This window comes from Homo sapiens, chromosome 12, assembly GCF_000001405.40.
Source record: "Homo sapiens chromosome 12, GRCh38.p14 Primary Assembly".
NCBI classification, from domain to species: Eukaryota; Metazoa; Chordata; class Mammalia; order Primates; family Hominidae; genus Homo; species Homo sapiens.
Genome location: NC_000012.12, coordinates 39,329,537 through 39,351,693, shown reverse-complemented (window position 1 = coordinate 39,351,693; position 22,157 = coordinate 39,329,537). Strand labels below are relative to the sequence as shown.

General features: G+C 33.7%; 1 protein-coding gene across 33 annotated transcripts in view; it reads left to right on the top strand.

The window, feature by feature from the left end:
* The window catches only part of KIF21A (kinesin family member 21A), a 149,893-nt gene that overhangs the window by 91,427 nt on the left and 36,309 nt on the right, over positions 1-22,157 (top strand). For 8 of the 33 annotated variants that reach the window (XM_005269014.4, XM_005269013.4, XM_006719494.4 and 5 more), the window contains exons 12-24: positions 5,190-5,228; positions 9,570-9,660; positions 10,072-10,189; positions 10,600-10,788; positions 11,330-11,529; positions 14,491-14,598; positions 18,414-18,482; positions 18,587-18,801; positions 18,950-19,103; positions 19,286-19,480; positions 19,903-20,004; positions 20,783-20,948; positions 21,432-21,452. In XM_005269014.4, the coding sequence (XP_005269071.1) occupies positions 5,190-5,228; positions 9,570-9,660; positions 10,072-10,189; positions 10,600-10,788; positions 11,330-11,529; positions 14,491-14,598; positions 18,414-18,482; positions 18,587-18,801; positions 18,950-19,103; positions 19,286-19,480; positions 19,903-20,004; positions 20,783-20,948; positions 21,432-21,452 (1,667 nt within the window). The remainder of the gene's footprint in view (positions 1-5,189; positions 5,229-9,569; positions 9,661-10,071; positions 10,190-10,599; positions 10,789-11,329; positions 11,530-14,490; positions 14,599-18,413; positions 18,483-18,586; positions 18,802-18,949; positions 19,104-19,285; positions 19,481-19,902; positions 20,005-20,782; positions 20,949-21,431; positions 21,453-22,157) is intronic. The other 25 variants (XM_017019611.3, XM_047429127.1, XM_017019608.3 and 22 more) reach the window with 7 other exon arrangements.

Below are 22,157 nucleotides of genomic sequence, written 5' to 3'. Positions count from 1 at the left end.
TCTCATGAGTACCTTAGTATATGAAATAAATCACTATGTTAGCTGAAACTACAACTATCTAGTTTTTAATGGTTTATCTCTACTTATATGTAAGAAAAATAGATTTAATTGTAATAACATGGTAATGAATTTTATTTAGAACATGACAATATAAAATTACTATTATAAATTATTTTATTATTTCTTCAAATAGCTGCTTTTGCATTCCATTCATTTTGCTTTTCAGCAAAGCTTGCTGTACCATTACAACTCAGTGTTTTCATTTTTTCCCCATTTCCTAATGCAATTAAATAGTCTCATGGATATTTTCATCCCTGTCTAGATTAGTTTAACTAAAGGCTAAACTAATCCATCAGAATGTCATGTAATGTCATTTGGTCTCTTAAATATTTTCTGCAGGGCTTCTAATTTGATTATGTGAAAATTATTTATGCTATTTCAGGCTTTTTGAATCTTCCAACAAGGAGTTACTCAGCTTTTCACCACTGTTCTGGGCTTTCTCTTCTTTGCATCCTGATACTATGTCCCTCTGAAATCAACCGGGTGCAAAGGAGAGGAAGAAAATGAAAATTTAACCACTTGTAATGTGTAAGTGGTTAAATTCTCATAAATTCTTTACATGTTTACACACTGATTCTATGGTGCAGTCAGATTGCTTACAGAGACTATATTTTGAGCATGCCAGTCAAATTAAATTTAAACATTTTTGGCTAGATATTCAAAAGGAAGCAAAATCATCTTATTTGCCACCTGGTTTGTTACAGGAGGAATGCTTTGTAGAATTGATGTAGACGTTTAGCCTACCTGCTGCTTTGCTCAGTTTATTTAAAAATGTATTTAGGTAGCCAGGCATTTCTTCCTGGAGCAGCCAGTTGATCAAAGTCATTGGAAGTTTAAATTCTTCCAATTCTGCTTTGTGTTCCTGAGTTTAAAAAGAATAATTAAAGCAAGGAATTATACATTATGGTTAGTAGGCATTGCAATTGAAATTGCACTCTTGAGATATTAATGTCTTAGATGTTTTCATGGATCATTGATTATGGCAGCATTAAGAAATGTATAATGATTAGCTCTTCCCTTATGGAGGGCAATTGAAACTGAAATAATGATCATAGGATTATCGAAAGTAGTGTTACCCAGTTTACTGCTTGAATTAACATAAGACTTTTGCACATGACTTATCACTTAACTTGTAAAATCCACTTCTGTAGTTGGTCAAAATGTCAAATGGTATGACTTGTTTTTAAAGGTCTAGGTCATTTGTATTCATAAATAATAAGTAAGTATAAGCAAAGTTTATTTTTTAAGGTCACAACTGATACTGCTTTTTCCTTTTGAGGTAAATTTAGAGATATTTCCTTAATCACCTGTTGAATATGACTAATGAAAAATAAATAAGGATCCCAATAGAAATCTAGGCTGTTTTTAACATTTTAATAGCGGTTGTGACTAATTCAGTGATTATGTAGTTGTAATAATTATTACAATAAAAATAATAGATGTTAATACTAATAAGAACTCATCAAACAACTGGATTTAAACATAAAAGCCTAAGTGAAGAAAATAATTTATTTCCTAACAAAAAGACACATAATTAGAGATAAAATATTTGTGAGTGAGCCAGATAAGAAATGAAAGATAGCTTAGAATGAGAAAAACAAATTAATACTTTCTAAAAATTAATACACCTATAGAGTGCTATATACAAACATTTTTAAGAGCATTTTCACACATGCTGTAGTGTACCTTCGTACACTGACACCTATATAATTTTGTAAAACTGACACCTATATAATTTGTGAATCTAAAAAATTTTTCTTGTGTACTATACCATATAACTGTAAACATTTTTAGAGCCAATTTATAAATTTTTATTGCTACATATAAAAATTTATAGTATTTAATGGAATATGTCTTACCACACTATAATCAAATGTTTTTTTGAATTAAAAAATGAAAACCAATCCTGTTTTACTTAGTTTGATAAAGCACTTTGTTCATCACACTTGGATCCCAATAACTTTTAACTGTATGTAATGCCAATTTCTATTTTTAAAATGTAGGTAAGCCCTCATTTAGCCAAAGGAGTCCCTACAAGTTAGTAAAGAACCAGCATACAATAAACCTAGAGTTCCAGAAATGTTTGGAAGGATAGCAGCTTTACTAAAGTGCTCAGTTTTCCACAGGAGCTCCTTGGAAGTGATAGCTCCTGTTTGGATGCATTGATTCTGGTTGAGTTACATTCCATGCTTCATGTTTATCTATTTTATTTGTCAGAGAGGGCATTGCAAAATGTGGGTCTACCTCAACCTTACACATACAAGAGGTTCAATTAAAAATTAATTGAAACTTTGGACTGATTTTTCTCTAGCAAGTATTGTAAATACATGATGTCCAAATTTCTCAGCTCACTCACATAAAATGATTTCTGCCCATTTTATAATATGGTAAGAATAATTCAGAAGGGAGCAAGAAAAGGCAAGACAGGGGAAAGAACCTTCTTTCCCTCTCATGGGTGTAGGCCAATCTTTGGGGGAAAAATGGGAATTTCTGCTTTAGCCATTCGTTCTTACTGACCTTCCTGTGTCCCCATGCTACCTTGATCCGTTCCTCCCTTATGTGGTCCAGTTCTCACGTAATTCTGCCCTACCCTGAAGTACTCCCAATTTCAAAATTATCTATTTTTTTCTCTGATCTCCTTAAATTCAAACTCAGGAACAAAGCCATTTGACTAAAGGAATTCATACCAGTGGAAATGTCTGATAACCAACAAGCTTCCTTTGTAGGGGTATTTGGAATTTTTAAAGAGAGTACATTAATCCATACAACAAAATATGTTAGGCAGCATAATCTAATGAAAAAAAGAGTAGAAAAGGTTTTTTTTCTGTTTGTTTGTTTGGTTTTTTTTTTTATCTTGTTGTGGCTGTGAGTTTCTAAAACCTGTCTGGGGCTTGTTTGACCTTTGGATTCAGCTCTTCTAAGCTGTCCTGGCTTCTACAGCTGCCTCCTTTCCTTGTCACTGAATTCACAAATTCTTTGGAAGCTCTGTGTCTTTTAATTTATTGTTTTGTGTTGTAGATTTTTGGTTGGAGTGGCTATAGGGCCTCTGACAATGTAAGAGTTGATAGGAAGAGTGGTAACTGGATCATTTTCCAGAAGCTGCGTTTGTGTTTAAGGAGGATGCCACAAATGCTGTTTGAAAGTTTCACCTTCTTCTGCGTCAGTCTGTATCAGAACTATAACTAATAGCTAATATGTGAGGTTTTAAGGTTTGCTCTTCTACCTTTTTGTGCTTATTTTCTGTTGATCTGTAGAATAATCCAGAGGTGTAGATAGTAAGAAAATAACAATTAAACTATGTGGCATATCTTTCAGTTACACAAATGTTAGAATGGTTGGCAAGAATTGTCATTCTCTTTAACTGTAGAAGAAGCATTGTAGGGGAACTAAGTGAAGTAAAAACTAAAGTTTTCCTTTAAGTTATGGAGAGGTGTTAGATTATTCATTTATTTCTCTGTCCCTTCATTGTCTTTTTGAACTATTGATTGGAATGGTTTTTAAAAAGGCAATTTAGGAGGCATGTAAAGTTTATGTACTTGCTAGCTCATGTCAACTGTATATTTTAATATAGCTTTCTTGTATAAGCTAACAAAAGTCTCTATATTGAAAATAGAAAATCTGGGTTCTTCATGAGGGAATCACATTCTCTGAGCCATTGTAGCTCGTTATCATTAGTATAGGCGTAGAGTAGACATAAAAGTTTTTTGCATTTTTTGTGTATGTGGACGAGGAAAATTTACCATTCACACATTAAATCCCATATTTTTGGATATCTAGCTTTAAATGACTTGCAACATAAAAAACTTCACTCATCGATCAGACTGCACTGATTTGTATTTAGTGGTGTTGGGTTGAAACTCTAGAAACACACAGATTTCTTAGGCAGTGGCTTTACTTTGCTTTTTCTAATCACTATACTGGACCATTTGATTACTGGTATATATTTGTAGACTTTTTCTCAGAAAGATTGCTAGTCTCGTCTTATAATGGCGGCATATAAGTTGATGTGAAAACAATCACAGACCAATAAATAAGAATCACATGGGAGCACTTACATTATGAAATTAAAATGAAAAGAACTGGCTTGATAAAATAACTCATACCTCTGATTCAATCTCTTCATTTTAAAATATTGATAATTCTGAAAAATATTCTGGGTGGAAGTGTTCTATATCAAAGTTGCCATATGCTTAATCAGAGCCTAGCACATCTGTCTTTTTGTCTACATGACAAATACTGGTATACAGTACATTCCATTGAGTAAAGATCCCCAAGTTTTAATATTGAATATTCTTTATCTTTAAAACCCTTTACACATGATATTTCTTATATGTTTCTTAAAAAACAATCTTACTAATGGAAAGTACTACTTTTCTCCCCACCCCCCTTTTTTTTTTGCCACTGTTGCTTTATAGATATGCCCTTTCAGTAGTTAGTTTATAATAATTAGTAAACTCTTTAATCCCAGTGTGAAATTTTATTTTCAATTAATAAAATTACAGTTTTTCACAGATATCATAACAACCATATTCATTTGCCTGCAATACCATTTCATGTATAACTTTGAAATCAGATTTTTTTTAGATTTATTGATATTCATATGTAGTATATTAAAACAGAAAGTATGTTTTTAAAAGTAGTATCCTAGAATGTAGTATTAGTGGTATTTTCATATTATGGTATAAAGGCATTACTTTGTGAAATTCTTTTAATGATGCCATTAAAAGGTCTTCTGTAAAGGCTTGAAAGAGAATATTATTGAAAGTGGTCTTTTTTGGGGGAAGCTGAGTAAATTGACCCACTTCAGACTAAAAAAAAGGCATCCAAGCATGCCTAATCCTTATCAACTTTTATAAATTGAGACTATACATTTTGCTGCTGCATAATTTCAACTGATAGTCTATATACTCTTCTTAGATATATTGCTGCTTGATTTTCTACTTACTTTTTATTCATACAAATGTATTGCCTTTTTACTGTGTATTGTCCTTTGATGATATCTTTTAAAATTTATTTTAAAGTCTTCAAGCTCATGTATCATTTTTACCTTCTTATCACTTTCGCTTTTTACTGTCTGGTTTGTCCTTCATTGGCTTGGCCTTCCAATACTGTGCCTCGTGATTTTGAAGGCTACAGAAACTTGAGGAAAGCAATCGAGAAGAAAGAAGGTTGGAATATTTCCCAGGTTTTTTATTAAAATGTCGTTTAAATACTTAGTTGCCATTCACAAGGAAATGTGTTATAGTATTATAGATTGTTTCAGACTAGATAAGCTGGGCTGCTCCTAAAAGTAATGCTGATTTTATAAAACTAACAAGAACACTGTAATAAATTTTTAAGAAAATACTTTTTAAGAATAAAATCTTCACTAGATACTTGAATTAAAATTCAGGCAGTTTCATGTGATTACAGAATAAACTATGATAATTATGATGATGACTTACCTTTTGTAGGATAAAAATAACCCTAAAACCCCTGCCATTTGATTTATTAAAAAAAGAAAAAACAACAGTAATTCTTTGTCTTACAGAAACTTGTGAGCAGAGTGGAAATTGACATTTTGTTGTAGCACATGCTGAATCATGGGTGGGCCTCTGTCTCTCTCTTCTTTATTTGGTATAATCTTTACTGGAAAAAAAAATCATTAAAATGACAACAAACAAAAGGAAACTGTGGCCTTATTACAAATAAGATTTATAAGACATTCTTAAGGTTGAAATAGAAAAACAATTTTTGCTTTTAAAATGTATTTGAAGTGGACATCAAAAACAGGATAGTTGCTTTTTTTTCATTTGAAACGAGCAAAATTTAGAATAATATTCTTGATTGCATTTTACTGATTCAGAATTATGATTATTTAACCAAAGATAAGTGGTATTTTCCTTCTTATCAGAAGTTTTCTTCATAGATTTTCCTAAACAAATCTCTAGATTACATAGTCAAAATGATTAAGAAAATATACTAGTTTCAAGGTAATATTTAACTATTTTGGAAGCCCTACTTTAGACATTCATCTTTTACTTAAGAACTTGAGAACTTATACTATGCAATTAGTTAAATGAATATCTTACTTTAAATATCTTAAAGCTTAAAATGTTTTTCTTTAAATTACCTTATAATTTTTATTTTATAATTATATTTAGTATGTTATATAGTATTCTAAAGTTTTTATACTTACATGCCATAAGCCCATAGGTTCTTTAAAGTACTTAGGCTATAATTTTAATTTTTTATTGGTCATACTATAACTCACCTAAGCAATACATATTTAGGACAACATGTTTATTATTGGAATTAAGTTAAGGCATTAAAATTGTGAAATTTCTTCTATTCTGAAAGGTAAAAATAAGATGCGTCATTAAAGTTGTGTGTGGAAGCATTTAATCACCATAAAATATTCAAGTCCTTTAAATGTTCTCAGTGAAAGGAGTTTACTCCCATCTTTACATGATCCCTGAAGGACAGCAAAAGCAGAGTGGTTGGGTGGTTACAGAACAACTTCTCAAACATAGTCGTGTGTACAGATCTCCTAGGGATTTTGATAAAATGCAGATTCTGATTCAGTAGGACTGAGGTGGAGCCTGAGATTCTGCATAAGTAATAAGCTCCCAGGTGGTGCAGATGCTTCCAGTCTGTGAGCTGAACTTTGAGATGTTCTGGGAGTCAGGATAACTGGTTTTAGTTCTCTTGAGGGGATTCACTTCTCCAGGCCACAGTTCCCTTTTTGTTTGTCAAATGAAGGGGTTAATTGCTAATGTTCCTTCCAGCTCCCAAGCTTCTGATTCTATATAAAGCACAAATTTAAATATCTTCCATTGCTACTTAGATACTTATTTTAGATATCAATTTGCCTCGGTTTACTGAGGAAAACTTCAATATTTGAGGTATAAAAATTATAACTATCAACTTGTATTTTAAAAGTTTAAGCCTTTAAATTAATAATGTAAAGTTATGACTGCTGATTTTTCCACATCAGAAGTGGCACGAATGACTTATAATATATGAGTTAATGTAGAAGTGAAAGAACATTTAACTGGATATCAGTGAGTTGGAGCGGGGAGTAGAACGATATGTTGGGTCAAATGTTTGGAATAAGGTGGTTGTATGGCTGTAAACTTAAGTATAATGTGATTTGATTGGAACTTGAAGTAATACAAGAACAGAGAATAATGAAAACTGTATTCTGTAGCAGTCACAGGTGAGAAAGGGAGACTGCCCAGGAGAGGGAACTGGAAAGCCTGCTGGGAGATGTCTCCCTACAAATTGTCCTTTCCTAGCCCTACACCTTAGACCTAAACCTCAAGTATAGCACTGTTTGAGTACATGCTGCTGGCCTTTTAATTGATGATTGGATGAAAGGGGAATTTCTTTCTAGATTTTCATCTTGAACTGCATGATGGTGGAAAATCAGCAGTCCTAGTATATTATAAGCAACCTAAGAGAGACATTCAGTATATCACATAAAATTATTTCTTGTTTATCATAAGAGTTCTTTCTAGGTGGTTCCTACTTTTCTTCAAGCACATTTTTCTCCATCCAAATGATTTAACAACACTCATGGAACCCTGTTACAATTTACTTCATTCATTTCCAGTTAAGACTGTTGTATTGGTACTCCTACTTGTACTTTCTTCTCTCTCCGTATATATGCTGTCTCTCATGCATCTTTATGCATCTTTGAAACTGTACCATTCTGCTCCAACCGAGCTAGTGCATGAGACACATAGGCATGTTCAAACAGAGGTGCTCATGCATAGTCACAGGGATTGGTTTATTTAACAAACACTTACTTCACATTCATTATGTGCCAGGACCTGGGTACTAGGGATGTAATGCGGAGGCAAACAGACACGATCCCTTCCCTTAGGAAGCTGACTGCCTAGTGAGAAATACAGACACTAAATAAATAATAACATAAACATAAATGACAAACTCTGAAAAGTCCTTACAAGGGAAAAGTATTTATATTCATAGTGCTCAGTAGAAAAATATCTCTGAGAATAGAAACCTAGAGTTAATCATTAAAGTTATAGCTATAATAGGGCCTAAATGAGATTAAGTTTTTAGCCTAGAAGCTAAAAATCAATCCATGTATTAGGGAAATTATTTAATATAGAAGAATATATGAAAACATGATAGCTGTTATTAAGCTATTCTGATAAAGTTGTAAAGTTTTTTTTGTAGAGGAATTTTACTTTTAGAATATTGCATTATTTGAGTATTCTATTTATTTATTTTTTAAATTTATTGTAATTAATTAATTAATTTATTTTTGAGACAGAGTCTCGCTCTGTTGCCCGGGCTAGAGTGCAGTGGCGCAATCTTGCCTTACTGCAACCTCTACCTCCCGGGTTCAAGCGATTCTCCTGCCCCAGCCTCCTTAGTAGCTGGGATTACAAGTGTGCGTCACTATGCCAGGCTGTTTTGTATTTTTAGTAGAGACGGGGTTTCACTATGTTGGCCAGGCTGGACTCAAATGCCTGACCTCGTGATCTGCCCGCCTCAGCCTCTCAAAGGGCTTTTTAATGATTTTAAAATGCTACTATAGCACAAAAGGAAATAGTTCATATATAGATTCATTTAAAGTTCACTTAATGTTGTTTAGCTTAATTAAATATGTGAGTCTAGTGATCAATAGTGTAATTTCTGTGCATAGTTGATTGCTAAACCCACAAAGGATTCGAGTTATTTGGGTGTACGAAACTTCTCTCTTTTCCTCAGGGCCACCAGGGCTGAATTAATTTAGCTATAATCATTCCCTGGTATGTGTGTAGTTATGGCTGTAGGTACTAGGTAACTTAAGAGGAGAGCTTCCAATTATAAGGTGAATCTTGCGGCAGACCCTGAAATTTTCTATTCAATCAAAGGGCAGCCTGAACATTAGACAGTTTTTGGTATGCAAAGACACATTGTGTGAGACCATAATGAGAAGTAGCCTTGTGCTGTACGGGCAGCCTAAGAAAAAAGAGCCTGTGCCACTACCTGAAGGAGACCTGAAAATACTGATGGATATAGCTAGTGTAGACAAGCTTACTGTGGGCAGATTTAAACTGGAACTTTAAATTTACTCTTAAATGTATTAGGACATCAGTGAAAATGTAGTTTTTTATATCTTTGTATTTATATGAGAGAAGTTTTTTTGTATTCAGATGAGAAAACAAAAATGTTTGATTTCTTTTCAATTTAAATTGCCTTACATTCTAGTTAATTGGCTGCTACTGTGACTAGTTCTTAGGGGTGTCGAGGTCTCGTGCTTTCGGGCATAATCTATTCCTCAGTGTTTTCTGAAAATAAGCTTTTCTCCAGTGATATAAATCATTACACTGTTGATTGATTGGCAATTTCCATTTTTCTCTGAAGCATCAGATAGAATAGCTTTGCTCAGTTAAGTGACCAACATTTAAAGTTTGTTTTCACAAATCATTGATGGCTTCTAAAAATCTGAGGGAGAAAAAGTGAATAATTTTCCTTTCTATTTTAACACCATACCCTTATGTTCCTTTTTTTAGTGTGGCTGGTAAAGAGGATAATACAGACACTGACCAAGAGAAGAAAGAAGAAAAGGGTGTTTCGGAAAGAGAAAACAATGAATTAGAAGTGGTAAGTATGAAAGAATGAACTTGTCAGTTTTAGTCACCAGGTTTGGTTGTTCTTGGTTGATGATAACTTACTAACTTACTTGTAGAAAAGTGAACTGCTTATGATGCATTCTGTTTAATCTATTTCTTTGAAGATGTTTCTTCAGAGATACAAGCTATAAAATATTGACAACTCTCAATCTTATGTATTGTGAAAGCATTGTGTTGGGGAGTCAGGGGTAGAATACTATGAGAGATGAAATACTTTTTGATTTAAGACAAAATTACTCTGTAATAACCTTAACATTTTTATACTGATGACAAGTGAATTTTTTTATGTTTCCGTACTTTGTACTCCAGCAGCCTCTCTCAATGAGGGAGTCAGTTTGTTTTGCCAATATTGTGCTATTAATTTTTACAAATCACATTTTAGGAAGAAAGTCAAGAAGTGAGTGATCATGAGGATGAAGAAGAGGAGGAGGAGGAGGAGGAAGATGACATTGATGGGGGTGAAAGTTCTGATGAATCAGATTCTGAATCAGATGAAAAAGGTACTTGCCCTTTGGTATAAGGGCAAAAATTCATTTTGGGAAGTTGTTTAAACCATGACAGAAAACTCTTAACATTCTCTATTTCATACTTGATGAAAGAAACTTCTGTGACCACTGACCTACATTTGCCTTCCAAGGCTTATGTGCTAAACAAATGAGTTACTTCTCTTACTGGATTTAGTCATTGTGTGATTTCCATTCTTACCTAATACAAATAGCATTGTCCTTGACCAAAATGAACACTCTTTATCTCATTCACCTTTTGGTTGTTGGTTTTTCCAGGAAATTTTTCTAATAACTACTAAGTGAATAAAAATACCTAGTTGATGGTTTTTATGGTCTGCTTGAAAGCTAGAATTCTGATATTTTGGCCTAGCACCAGGATTTTTATTTTCTTCTTTTATAAATAGCCAATTATCAAGCAGACTTGGCAAACATTACTTGTGAAATTGCAATTAAGCAAAAGCTGATTGATGAACTAGAAAACAGCCAGAAAAGACTGCAGACTCTGAAAAAGCAGTATGAAGAGAAGCTAATGATGCTGCAACATAAAATTCGGGATACTCAGCTTGAAAGAGACCAGGTGCTTCAAAACTTAGGTAAGAATTATATTTAATTCAAATGAAAGTTCAAGCTAAATCTTCAAAATGGGTTTTTATCTTTTCCTTTAGAAGAAAAAAAATAGAAGCCGTATTAAACCCTTTTTTGTTATTTATTTGTTTTGTTTTTGCAAGTCAAAGTTTGTGCCTTTTATTTAAAAGTTATATGTAGCTTGTAAATACTTTTTGGCCACATTATATGTTAATTTGTCTCATAATGTTAAATATTGTTATTTGTTTTGTTTTTTCATACCGATATCTGCCTAGGCTGTTTACTTACTTTATACAAATTTATGGTTGTTTTAATGTTTTGATTTATGTTGGGGACATTTTAACATAACATATTAATAAATAAGCTTCAATAATCATTAAACAGGTTAAGAGTAGATAATAAAAGAGAGAATGATTGAAAGACACCCTAGTCTTCTGAGATGTGGGTGTTTGGGAAGTAGCTCTTCTCTTAGGATATGGACTGTAAATCTGTGAAATAAAAATCTGTGTCTCACAAAAAAACATATAAAAATGTCCTCTGGTCATTTAGGCTCGGTAGAATCTTACTCAGAAGAAAAAGCAAAAAAAGTTAGGTCTGAATATGAAAAGAAACTCCAAGCCATGAACAAAGAACTGCAGAGACTTCAAGCAGCTCAAAAAGAACATGCAAGGTTGCTTAAAAATCAGTCTCAGTATGAAAAGCAATTGAAGAAATTGCAGCAGGATGTGATGGAAATGAAAAAAACAAAGGTATTGATTATTTTTTTCCATTAACGTTTGATGTTCAGTATGATTTTGTCATTTGGGACAAAAAATAAACAACTCTTGTGGTTCTTTCCATATTCGATAAAGGTAACCCAATCTTACAAATGATGTAATTTCCTTTGGCAATTAGAAGTTGTTTCTAATAGTCATTCCTCATCCAAGCCTTTCTTCAGAGTAGCTGAAAATCATGTGCTCATCAGGGCTTCTTAGACATTGATAGGTATTTCTTCTCTTAAAACTCTTATGCAAGCTTAACAAAAGTATAAAATATTTCAAATATGCAAGAAAGCATACATAATAACAAACACTGTATCCACAGTCTAGTTTAAAATATTAAGCATTACAGATATACAGTAAGCCTTCTGTTTATCTCTTCCTGATCATATTCCCCATTCTCCAATAGCTAATAACTGTCTTAAATTTAGTGTTTATAATTCCTATACTTAGAGAAGCACTAATTTTCTTCCCCTGTCCAAAGAGAGTGTGCAAATCCTGATCTGTTATCTGTTTTTGATTAATTATTCTTTACATCTTTCATGAAAGTCAGTGTAGTTTTCTTAAAATAACAATAAAATAGCAAATATGGAAGTGATTTAGAAAGTATAATCATGCATTGCTTAATGATGGTACATTCTGAGAAATGCATTTTTAGGTGATTTCATTATTGTGCAAACATCATGGAGTGTACTTATACAAACCACGATGGTATAGCCTACTACACACCTAGGCTATGTGGTATAGCCTGTTGCTCCTAGGCTACAAACCTGTACAGCATGTTACTATGCTGAATACTCTAGGCAATTTTAACACAATGCTAAATATTTGTGTATCTAAACATATCTAAACATAGAAAAGGTATTGTAAAAAATACAGTAAAAAAGATAAAAAAATGGTACACTTTTTTTTTTTTTTTTGAGAGGGAGTCTCGCTCTGTTGCCCACCTCCCAGGTTCAAGCAGTTCTCCTTTCTCAGCCTCCCCAGTAGCTGGGACTATAGGTGCACACCACCATGCCCAGCTAATTTTTGTATTTTTAGTGGAGACAGGGTTTCACCATATTGGTCAGGCTGGTCTCAAACTCCTGACCTCAGCTGATCCACTAACCTCGACCTCCCAAAGTGCTGGGATTAAAGGCATGAGCCACTGTGCCCAGCCAAAACTTGTATACTTTTACAGGCATTCCTGATTTTACTGTGATTTGCTTTATTACCCTTTGCAGATATTGCATTTTTTACAAATTGAATGTTTGTGGCAACCCTGCCTTGAGGATGTCTGTTGGCACTATTTTTCCAACAGCATTTGCTCACTTCATGTCTCTGTCAGCATGTTTCTTTTAACAATTAAGTTTTTTGATTAAGGCATGCACATTATTTTTTTAGACATGATGCTATTGCACACCTAATAGACTACTGTATAGCATAAACATAACTTTATATGCGCTGGGAAACCAAATAAATTTGTGTGACTTGCTTTAATGTGATATTCACCTTTTTGCGGTGCTCTGGAACCAAACCTGCAAGGTCTCCAAGGTATGCCTGTAAGGTATGCGACTTACCATGAAGGGAGTTTGCAGGACTGTAAGTTGCTCTGTGTGAGTCAGTGAGTGAATGGTGAATGAACGTGAAGTCCTAGGACATAGCTATACACTGCTGTGGACTTTATCAATACTCTACACACTTAAGCTACACTAAATTTATTTTAAAAACTCTCCTCAGTGATAAATTAACCTTGGCTTACTGTAATTTTTTTTATTTTATAAATATTTTAAGTTAAAAAACTTTTTGACTCTTTTGAAATATCACAGTTTAAAACACAAATGCACTGTATAGCCGTACAAAAATATTTTTTCTTTATATCATCATTCTGTAAGCTTTTATCTATTTTAAGTTTTTATATTTTTTACTTTTTAAACTTTTTTGTTAAAACTAAAACACAAACATGCACAATAGCCTAGGCCTATGCAGAGTGAGGATCATCAATATCACCGTCTTCACCTCCCCATCTTGTCTCACTGGAAGGCATTCCGGAGCATTAACACACATGGAGCTGTCATCTCCTATGATAACAATGCCTTCTTCTTAAATATCTTCTCAAGGGCTTGCCTGAGGCTGCTTTATAGTTAACTTTTTTTTTCATAAGTCCAAAATATCTATAAAAAGTATAGTATAGTAAATACATAAACCAATAGCATAGTCATTTATTATCCTTATCAGGTATCATGGACTATACATAATTGTGTGGACTATACTTAATATGACTAGCAGCACAGTAGGGTTGTTTATACCAGCACTACTGCAAACGGGTGTAGTGCTTTGTAATGTGATGTTATGACATTATTACATCACTAGGCAATAGGAATTTTTTAGCTCCACTATAATCTTATGAAACCACTGTCTTAAGTGTGGTTCATTGTTGAGTTAAATGTTATGAGGCACATAACTGTCATTTGATTATTATGTTGTGTAGTTGCTGATAACAACAGTAGCTAAAATTATTAAGTGCTTATCAAGTTGTTGAGAATTCAAGTGCCAGGTACTGTTAAAACGCTGTGTGGGTGTTAACTGGTTGAATTCTCACAAAAATCCAATGCTGTGGAAATATTATTTCCATTTTATAGATGAGCAAACCAAAGCCTAGAGAGGTAAAGTAATTCGATCAAGGTCACACAGCTACTGATAGTAAGCTAAGTATCAAGATTTCAAGTTGCAGAACAACTGAATATTGAATACAAAAAGCATAGAATACTAAGCAATTTAATAAAAATGTATTAGAAATAGAAATATATGAATCCCACAGAAATAAGAATTGCCCACTTTAAACGTGCAGCAAAACTGCATGTTTCCATGTTAAGTATTCAGAATTCTAAGAACTTACTTCCATATATGTGGTTGATTTAATGAATGTTGTGACAGAGTAATTTCAATAGATGTCTATACCTAATTGGTTAGGTTCGCCTAATGAAACAAATGAAAGAAGAACAAGAGAAAGCCAGACTGACTGAGTCTAGAAGAAACAGAGAGATTGCTCAGTTGAAAAAGGATCAACGTAAAAGAGATGTAAGTGGATTTTAACTCTCAGTTATATAAGAAAATTGTACGTTGAAAAAGATTGTTTAATAAATGGAGGAAAAATTTCTGGTAACCATAACTACTAATTGCAGGTTAAGGACAATAGATAAGCATACACTTTATAAAATGTCATTTATTACAGTATGTGGATTATGGTAATTCAGTATAAGAGTTCATAAAAAACACTGTAATATTATATATTTTATTTGAGGCTTATTTTCCAGATGATGACATAGAAGTAAATGGCAAGAATGACTGGTTATCTCTAGGATGACCAAGGAACTAGTTGCAGTATTATATAAGATAGCAAGTTTAGGATGGTTCTGAAGAATGTTTTATCACTAGAGGTACTTATAAATAATCCTAGAGTTAACAACCAGCCCTTATTAGAAGAGGCTTTTCTAAGGACTATCAAAATTTTTGTATCCTTTGACTCAAGATTCTACTTCCATGAATTTAGATGAAGAAAATAATGTAAAACAAGTAAAAATACTATGCATCAAAATCTTCACTGTAGGATTCTTTGTAATTGTGAAAAAAGTAAAAACAACCAAGATCCCTGACAGTAGGAGGAATGGTTAAAGAAATTATGGTACATTCCATTTATATTTTGAAACTGTATACTTATCTGAAAAATGACCATGCATTAAGTGTAAAGCATGGTCATTTTACAAATAAATGTATGCTTGATTTCAATGAAGGAAAATTCAAAGGATACATCTCAACGTGCTAATTGTAGTTGTGTTAGGGTTATAAGTTATGGTTGATTATTTTTCTTCTTCTTTCCAAAATTTTGGCAATGTGATTATTTCTTTTAGGTGAAAAATTATAGTTATGATTTTTTTTTTCTTAAAAGAAGAAGCTGGGTGCAGTGGCTCATGCTTGTAATCCCAGCCAGCACTTTGAGAGACTGAGGCCGGAGGATTGCTTTGAGCCCAGGAGTTCTAGACTAGTCTGAACAACAACACAGCAAGACTGCCTCTTTGAAAAAGAAGAGGCCATCACTTTTTCCCTTATTATTGGTTAGGTTTCAGCCATTATTCCTTTTTACTTGCTGAACTTTTCCTAAATCCTCCCTGGAAAAATACGAGCATAAAGCATATTTTAGAAAATGGAAATTTATTTTGGAATGTAAAGAGGAAAGGGGATAGAGAAAAGGGGGGTAGTGAGGTAGAAAAGTGGATAGCGGATATTTTGTCCAGATGACTCCCCTATTTTGGTTATGTTTATTTCTTTTTTTCTCCTACAATGTCAGTGTATTTTAATAATCAGTGTATTTGTCACAGTTAATTCCTGGGCATTTAAAATTGTGTTTTTATCGATTTGTTCCTACTGAAATCAAGTAGAAGCACATTCTAACATATTGCCTATTCTTTTTTTGTTATTGTTTTAAAAGTTGAGATATAATTAACTTATCCTAAAATTTACCTTTTAAAGTGTACAATTCATGTTTTTAGTATATTCACAAAAGTGTGCAATGATCACCACCATCTAATTACAGAAAATTTTCATTACTCCAGGAATATACGCTATACCCATTGGTAGTCACTCACCATTGCCCCGGCCCCTGGCAGCCACTAATCTACATTTTGTCCCTGTGGACATTGCATATAAATTGAATCATACCAGATGTGGCCTTTTGTGTCTTGATTTTTTTTTTTTTTTTTTTTTTTGAGACAGAGTCTTACTTTGTCGCCCAGGCTGGAGTGCAATGCATGATCTTGGCTCACTCTAACCTCCGCCTCCCAGGTCCAAGCCATTCTCCTGCCTCAGCCTCCTGAGCAGCTGGGACTACAGGCATGCACCACCACACCTGGCTAATTTTTGTATTTTTAGTAGAGATGGGTTTTCACCATGTTGGCCAGGCTGGTGTCAAACTCCTGACCTCAAGTGATCCGCCCCGCCTCGGCCTCCCAAAGGTGTGAGCCACTGCACCCAGCTGTGTCTGGCTTCTTTTATTTAACACGATGTTTTCAAGGTTCAGCCATGTTATAACATGTATCAGCACTTCATTCTTTTTTTATGGTTATATAGATAGAATATGTTTTGTTTGTCCATTCATCAGTTGATAGACGTTTGGGTTCTTTCCATTTTTTGGCTGTTTATTTTATATTTAATGAAAACCTTTGAACAACGGGAATAATTTCTTTACAGTGTATGCTACCTATTTCTTTATTACTAATTCATATAAGATAAGGGAGACCAATACTGAACTCCTGGGATGAACTTTTTGAATCTTTTCCATAACATGTGATGCCTATATTCTATTATAAAGACACAATGCTGGCTAGTCACATATAAAGCTAACATTCATACTCCCTCTCCCTTTTATTTGTTGCCTTGTGTACATATTGACCTCCTTTTAAAATTGTTCCTTGTTATATTCATCTTTGAACCCTTAGAAAGTTCAGGGTGACATTTATATACCATATAAAAATATGAATGAGCTTGAGATTTGGTTTTTAATAGGAAGAAATTTAATGTAACAAGTTTGAAACTATATGATAATTTTAATTTCTGATAATTCATTAATTAAAAAACATATTAATTTTGCTTTTATATCAGTCACTGTGGTAGGCAATTAAGATATGGCTGTGATAAGATAAAGTCATTTTCTCAAGGAATTCCCATCTGATGAGACAGAAATATACATAAACATAAAATGAATGATCTGTTTGAATTTGAATGCAAAACACGAGTGATTATTTGTTAAATAACAGAATTTAAGTACTAGAAAGGAAGTTTGTAGTGAACTGTCATTCTTAAACTTTGTCCAAGATCACAGAATTGAATAAATGATAGAACTGGAATTAAGACCTAAGTTCTTTCTTTTTTCTTTTGTTTTCTTTTCTTTCTTTCTTTCTTTTTTTTTTTTTTTTTTTTGAGATGGAGTCTCACTGTGTCCTCCAGGCTGGTGTGCAGTGGCACAGTCTTGGCTCACTGCAGCCTCTGCCTCCTGGGTTCAAGCGATTCTCCCACCTCAGCCTCCCGAGTAGCTGAGATTGGAGGCACGTGCCACCATGCCTGGCTAATTTTGTATTTTTAGTAGAGACAGGGTTTTGCCATGTTGGCCAGGCTGGTCTCGAACTCCTGACCTGAAGTGATTCTCCCACCTTGACCTCCCAAAGTGCTGGGATTACAGGCATGAGCAACCACTCCTGGCCTCTGGTTCTTTTTAAGTCCAATTTTTTTTTTTAAATTATATGCCTGTAGAATGGCTTGAAGTAATCCTAATTAGTCATCTTTATTTTGAGAGTACCTAGAAACAAATTAATAGTCAGTGCAGACATATTTTATTGTCCATTTACTTTATCCACCATAAGATCCATAGTTATTATAAGTACTAATCAAATTAATATATATTCCTCCTATGTCTACAACAGTTTATAATTATTGTATATATTATAAGATGACTCTATTGAAAATATTCTAAGCTTTGTTTCTTCCTGTTTGTACCTCAAACAGCAACTAAAACAAAATATCTAACAAAATTAAATAAGATAACATTTGTAAAGCATTTAGAAAAGTACTTGCACATAGTAAGCACCAAATGTATCAAATTAAAGTATGTAACACAGAGATAACCTTTCATTTTTTCAAAAAGGGATGGGGTATATCTGTATTTATTTGTGTTTGTTGGAATAAAATAGCTGTACCTGTAATAATATATACAAGGTTGTTGACTCAAAGATTCTGCTAAGAACTCATAGTTCCCAGGGGTATGGGGAAATATATTCATATAGGAATAGGAAATATTGTATCTTTCACTTTACTATTTCCACTTATTTAATATTATTTTATAGCATCAACTTAGACTTCTGGAAGCCCAAAAAAGAAACCAAGAAGTGGTTCTACGTCGCAAAACTGAAGAGGTACAGTAAGCAAGCTGACCATTTGGAAGAAACCTTCTGACTTTGAGATAAATGATGTATTTCTATAGACTAAGAGAATGAGTCAACCTTTGCTGCAATTTCAGGTTACGGCTCTTCGTCGGCAAGTAAGACCCATGTCAGATAAAGTGGCTGGGAAAGTTACTCGGAAGCTGAGTTCATCTGATGCACCTGCTCAGGACACAGGTTCCAGTGCAGCTGCTGTCGAAACAGATGCATCAAGGACAGGAGCCCAGCAGAAAATGAGAATTCCTGTGGCGAGAGTCCAGGCCTTACCAACGCCGGCAACAAATGGAAACAGGTCTACATAATTCTGTTCCTGCTGATGTAATCTTCTTGGCCGTTAATACTGAATGTTGTACTTAAATGAAAAAATGGCTCATTATTTGGCAGTGCACAATCAAATAAGTGCATAAGTAATTGAGCTTGTCTGTTTTATATGATTATAGGAAAAAATATCAGAGGAAAGGATTGACTGGCCGAGTGTTTATTTCCAAGACAGCTCGCATGAAGTGGCAGCTCCTTGAGCGCAGGGTCACAGACATCATCATGCAGAAGATGACCATTTCCAACATGGAGGCAGATATGAATAGACTCCTCAAGGTGTGGAAAATAGAGAGTAGATACGCTCCCCCTTAGCTAACTGTTAATTTTACTCTTCCAATTTTGTTCCCTGGGTAAATTTAACACTTACCAAGTTTTTTTTGGGGGGTGGGGGGGTTTGATGGTACTGTATATAAATAAGTGAACATAATTTCTTAAAATCCAACCTGCTTTCTCAATAGCAACGGGAGGAACTCACAAAAAGACGAGAGAAACTTTCAAAAAGAAGGGAGAAGATAGTCAAGGAGAATGGAGAGGGAGATAAAAATGTGGCTAATATCAATGAAGAGATGGAGTCACTGACTGCTAATATCGATTACATCAATGACAGTATTTCTGATTGTCAGGCCAACATAATGCAGATGGAAGAAGCAAAGGTTTGTAATTTTTAAAAAAGCGTAATGGTTTAATGAAAAGTACTTTTGTATTGTTTATTGTTCAAAGCACTTTCAGTTTTTACATGAAGGTATTTTCTATTTCCTGGTCTAATCTAATGCTTAGGTTTTACATGTATGCCACTTCCTGCTTGCTTTTCAGATTTCTCTGCTGATTGTGTGATAACATTTGTTGTTTATATAACACATGGGTCATCTTTACATCCCACCTTGAATTCTTAACTGCTTAAATGTGTCTTTTCAACTAAACCCTATGTTTCTTGGGGTAATGATCATATATTGCACTTATCTGAGCATCTCATTAGCTAACCCAATACTAGGAAATAAATATGTGAAACAATAGGCTGTTGCCTTCTGTTTTCAGCTCAAAGTAATGGTCATCATATTATGCTGATTTTATACAGGAAGAAGGTGAGACATTGGATGTTACTGCAGTCATTAATGCCTGCACCCTTACAGAAGCCCGATACCTGCTAGATCACTTCCTGTCAATGGGCATCAATAAGGTAAGATACAACCACACTGTTACTGAAAATCTAAGTTTTGACTAATTCATTGTAGTTTTATTTATCTTTCTGTAGTAACCCTTTGCTTTGTAATAAGGAAGAAGATTATTCATAATTGGAAAGTATTTCTTTTACCTTTCTTTAGAGTCAGGAAGAGTAAGAAATATTTAGATCAATTTCATTAGCATGTTATCCATTATGTTTGTTTATTAGAGCAGATAAACAACTTAAAGAAGAAATAATTCCCCTTTTGCTTTAACAAAGGAAAAATTAGAAGAAATTTCTCAGCATGCAAACAAATTTGGTATCATAACTAATTTAACATTGATTCTTTACAGATCAAAAGCAAATCAGAAAAGAAAAAATAATTTAATCATTCTCTTATTTTGAATGTAAATGCTCTAATTTGTCACCTGTAAGAAAACCGTGCCCAAATGTTGAAGGTGATAATGGTTTCTGACTCACTTTTTTTTTTTCCATGTTGGGACTGTTAGATTCTTTCTGTTCTTATGCCATCTCACTTAATTTTCACAATGTGCTAAGAGGTAATTATTATTGATCTCATTTTGCATATGAGGAAACTGAGAATCCAGAAGATAACATCTTGGACAGGTGAACTTGTACATGATCACTAAGCCAGTTACTGGAGGAGCTGGGATGACTCGAGGTCTATCTGATGTCAAAACCCATATATCATATTCATTTGCTGTTTGATACAGATCTTTGTGTGGTAGATCCTGTTTCGTATGACCTAAGATAATTTTTTGTTGTGTTTCAGGGTCTTCAGGCTGCCCAGAAAGAGGCTCAAATTAAAGTACTGGAAGGTCGACTCAAACAAACAGAAATAACCAGTGCTACCCAAAACCAGCTCTTATTCCATATGTTGAAAGAGAAGGCAGAATTAAATCCTGAGCTAGATGCTTTACTAGGCCATGCTTTACAAGGTAATTTGCTCTCAATTTTAGTTGAATGAATTTGCATGGTAGCTTTGCTTTTTGAACATGGTATAGTATATCCCTTTCCCCTATGGCTTGACTGAATAGATGCTATATTTACTCATGCTTTTAATAATTATTCTTTCTTTAATTTGCATGTGTACATTTTGGCGAGGTAATTATTGTCATTCCAAGAAATGGTTACCAACTTAAAATGGCTTACTTAACCTTATTGAGCAATTAGTTTTTATGGGCAAAGAAGACCAATCAAGTTTTCGTATTGGTTATCTAAATTACTTAAAATAGTAACCAAGTTTCATTACTTTACTCTGCGTATCTCACTGCCTTAAAAATAAACTTATAAGTGTTTGCTATGGCATCTATTCTACATGTAAATGGTACATAATCTTGTTTTATGTGGGAGTTTTTAACATTGGATCTGTTTTGATTGGAGTATTGCTTTTTGTTTCCTTTTTGCTGTTATTTACACAGATCTAGATAGCGTACCATTAGGTAAGTATGTTTAGCTTTCTGTGTATCCTACAGCTGCATGAATTACTAATTGTTCATGTACACTAATTGTGGTACATCTTATTTTAAAGATTTTTATTGGCGGTCAAGTGGTTTTTGCATGATCTTTTTTGAAATGTATCCATGCCCACAAACACACTAAGTCTTTTATTAAACATTCCTGATTTTAAAATCCTTAGATGTTTAAAGAAGTATGCTTTTGTTAGTTGTCTCTTTTATTATCTGAGTTCCAGTTGTGCCTCCAGTTTCATAAACCCCCTGTGTTCTTTCTCTTCCTTATAGAAAAACATAATATTTATGTTCCGTTAAAATTTTTAAATATATCTATTAACGTACATCTATGGTTTTAACCTCATAAATAACTTTCTTCTGTATATATCTTTGGTATATATATATATACTTATCTGTTTTATTTTTGTAAATTTAAGCACACACTTTTAAATATTGTAAACTGAACAAAACTATCCAAAGGATTTTACCTGAACAGGTTGAAACAATATTGGTCAGGCTATTCAAGTACCTGGCATTATAACTAGCACTTTTGCATTCCATGTGTTATCAAGCATGTTTCTTTGCCTCCTCCTTCCTCTGTCCCTCTCACTCTTCCTCTCCCTCCCTCTCTTGCTTCTCCTCCCCAGTCCGTCCTCCTCTTCTTTCCCTCTTCCTCTTCTTTTTTTTATTGTACTT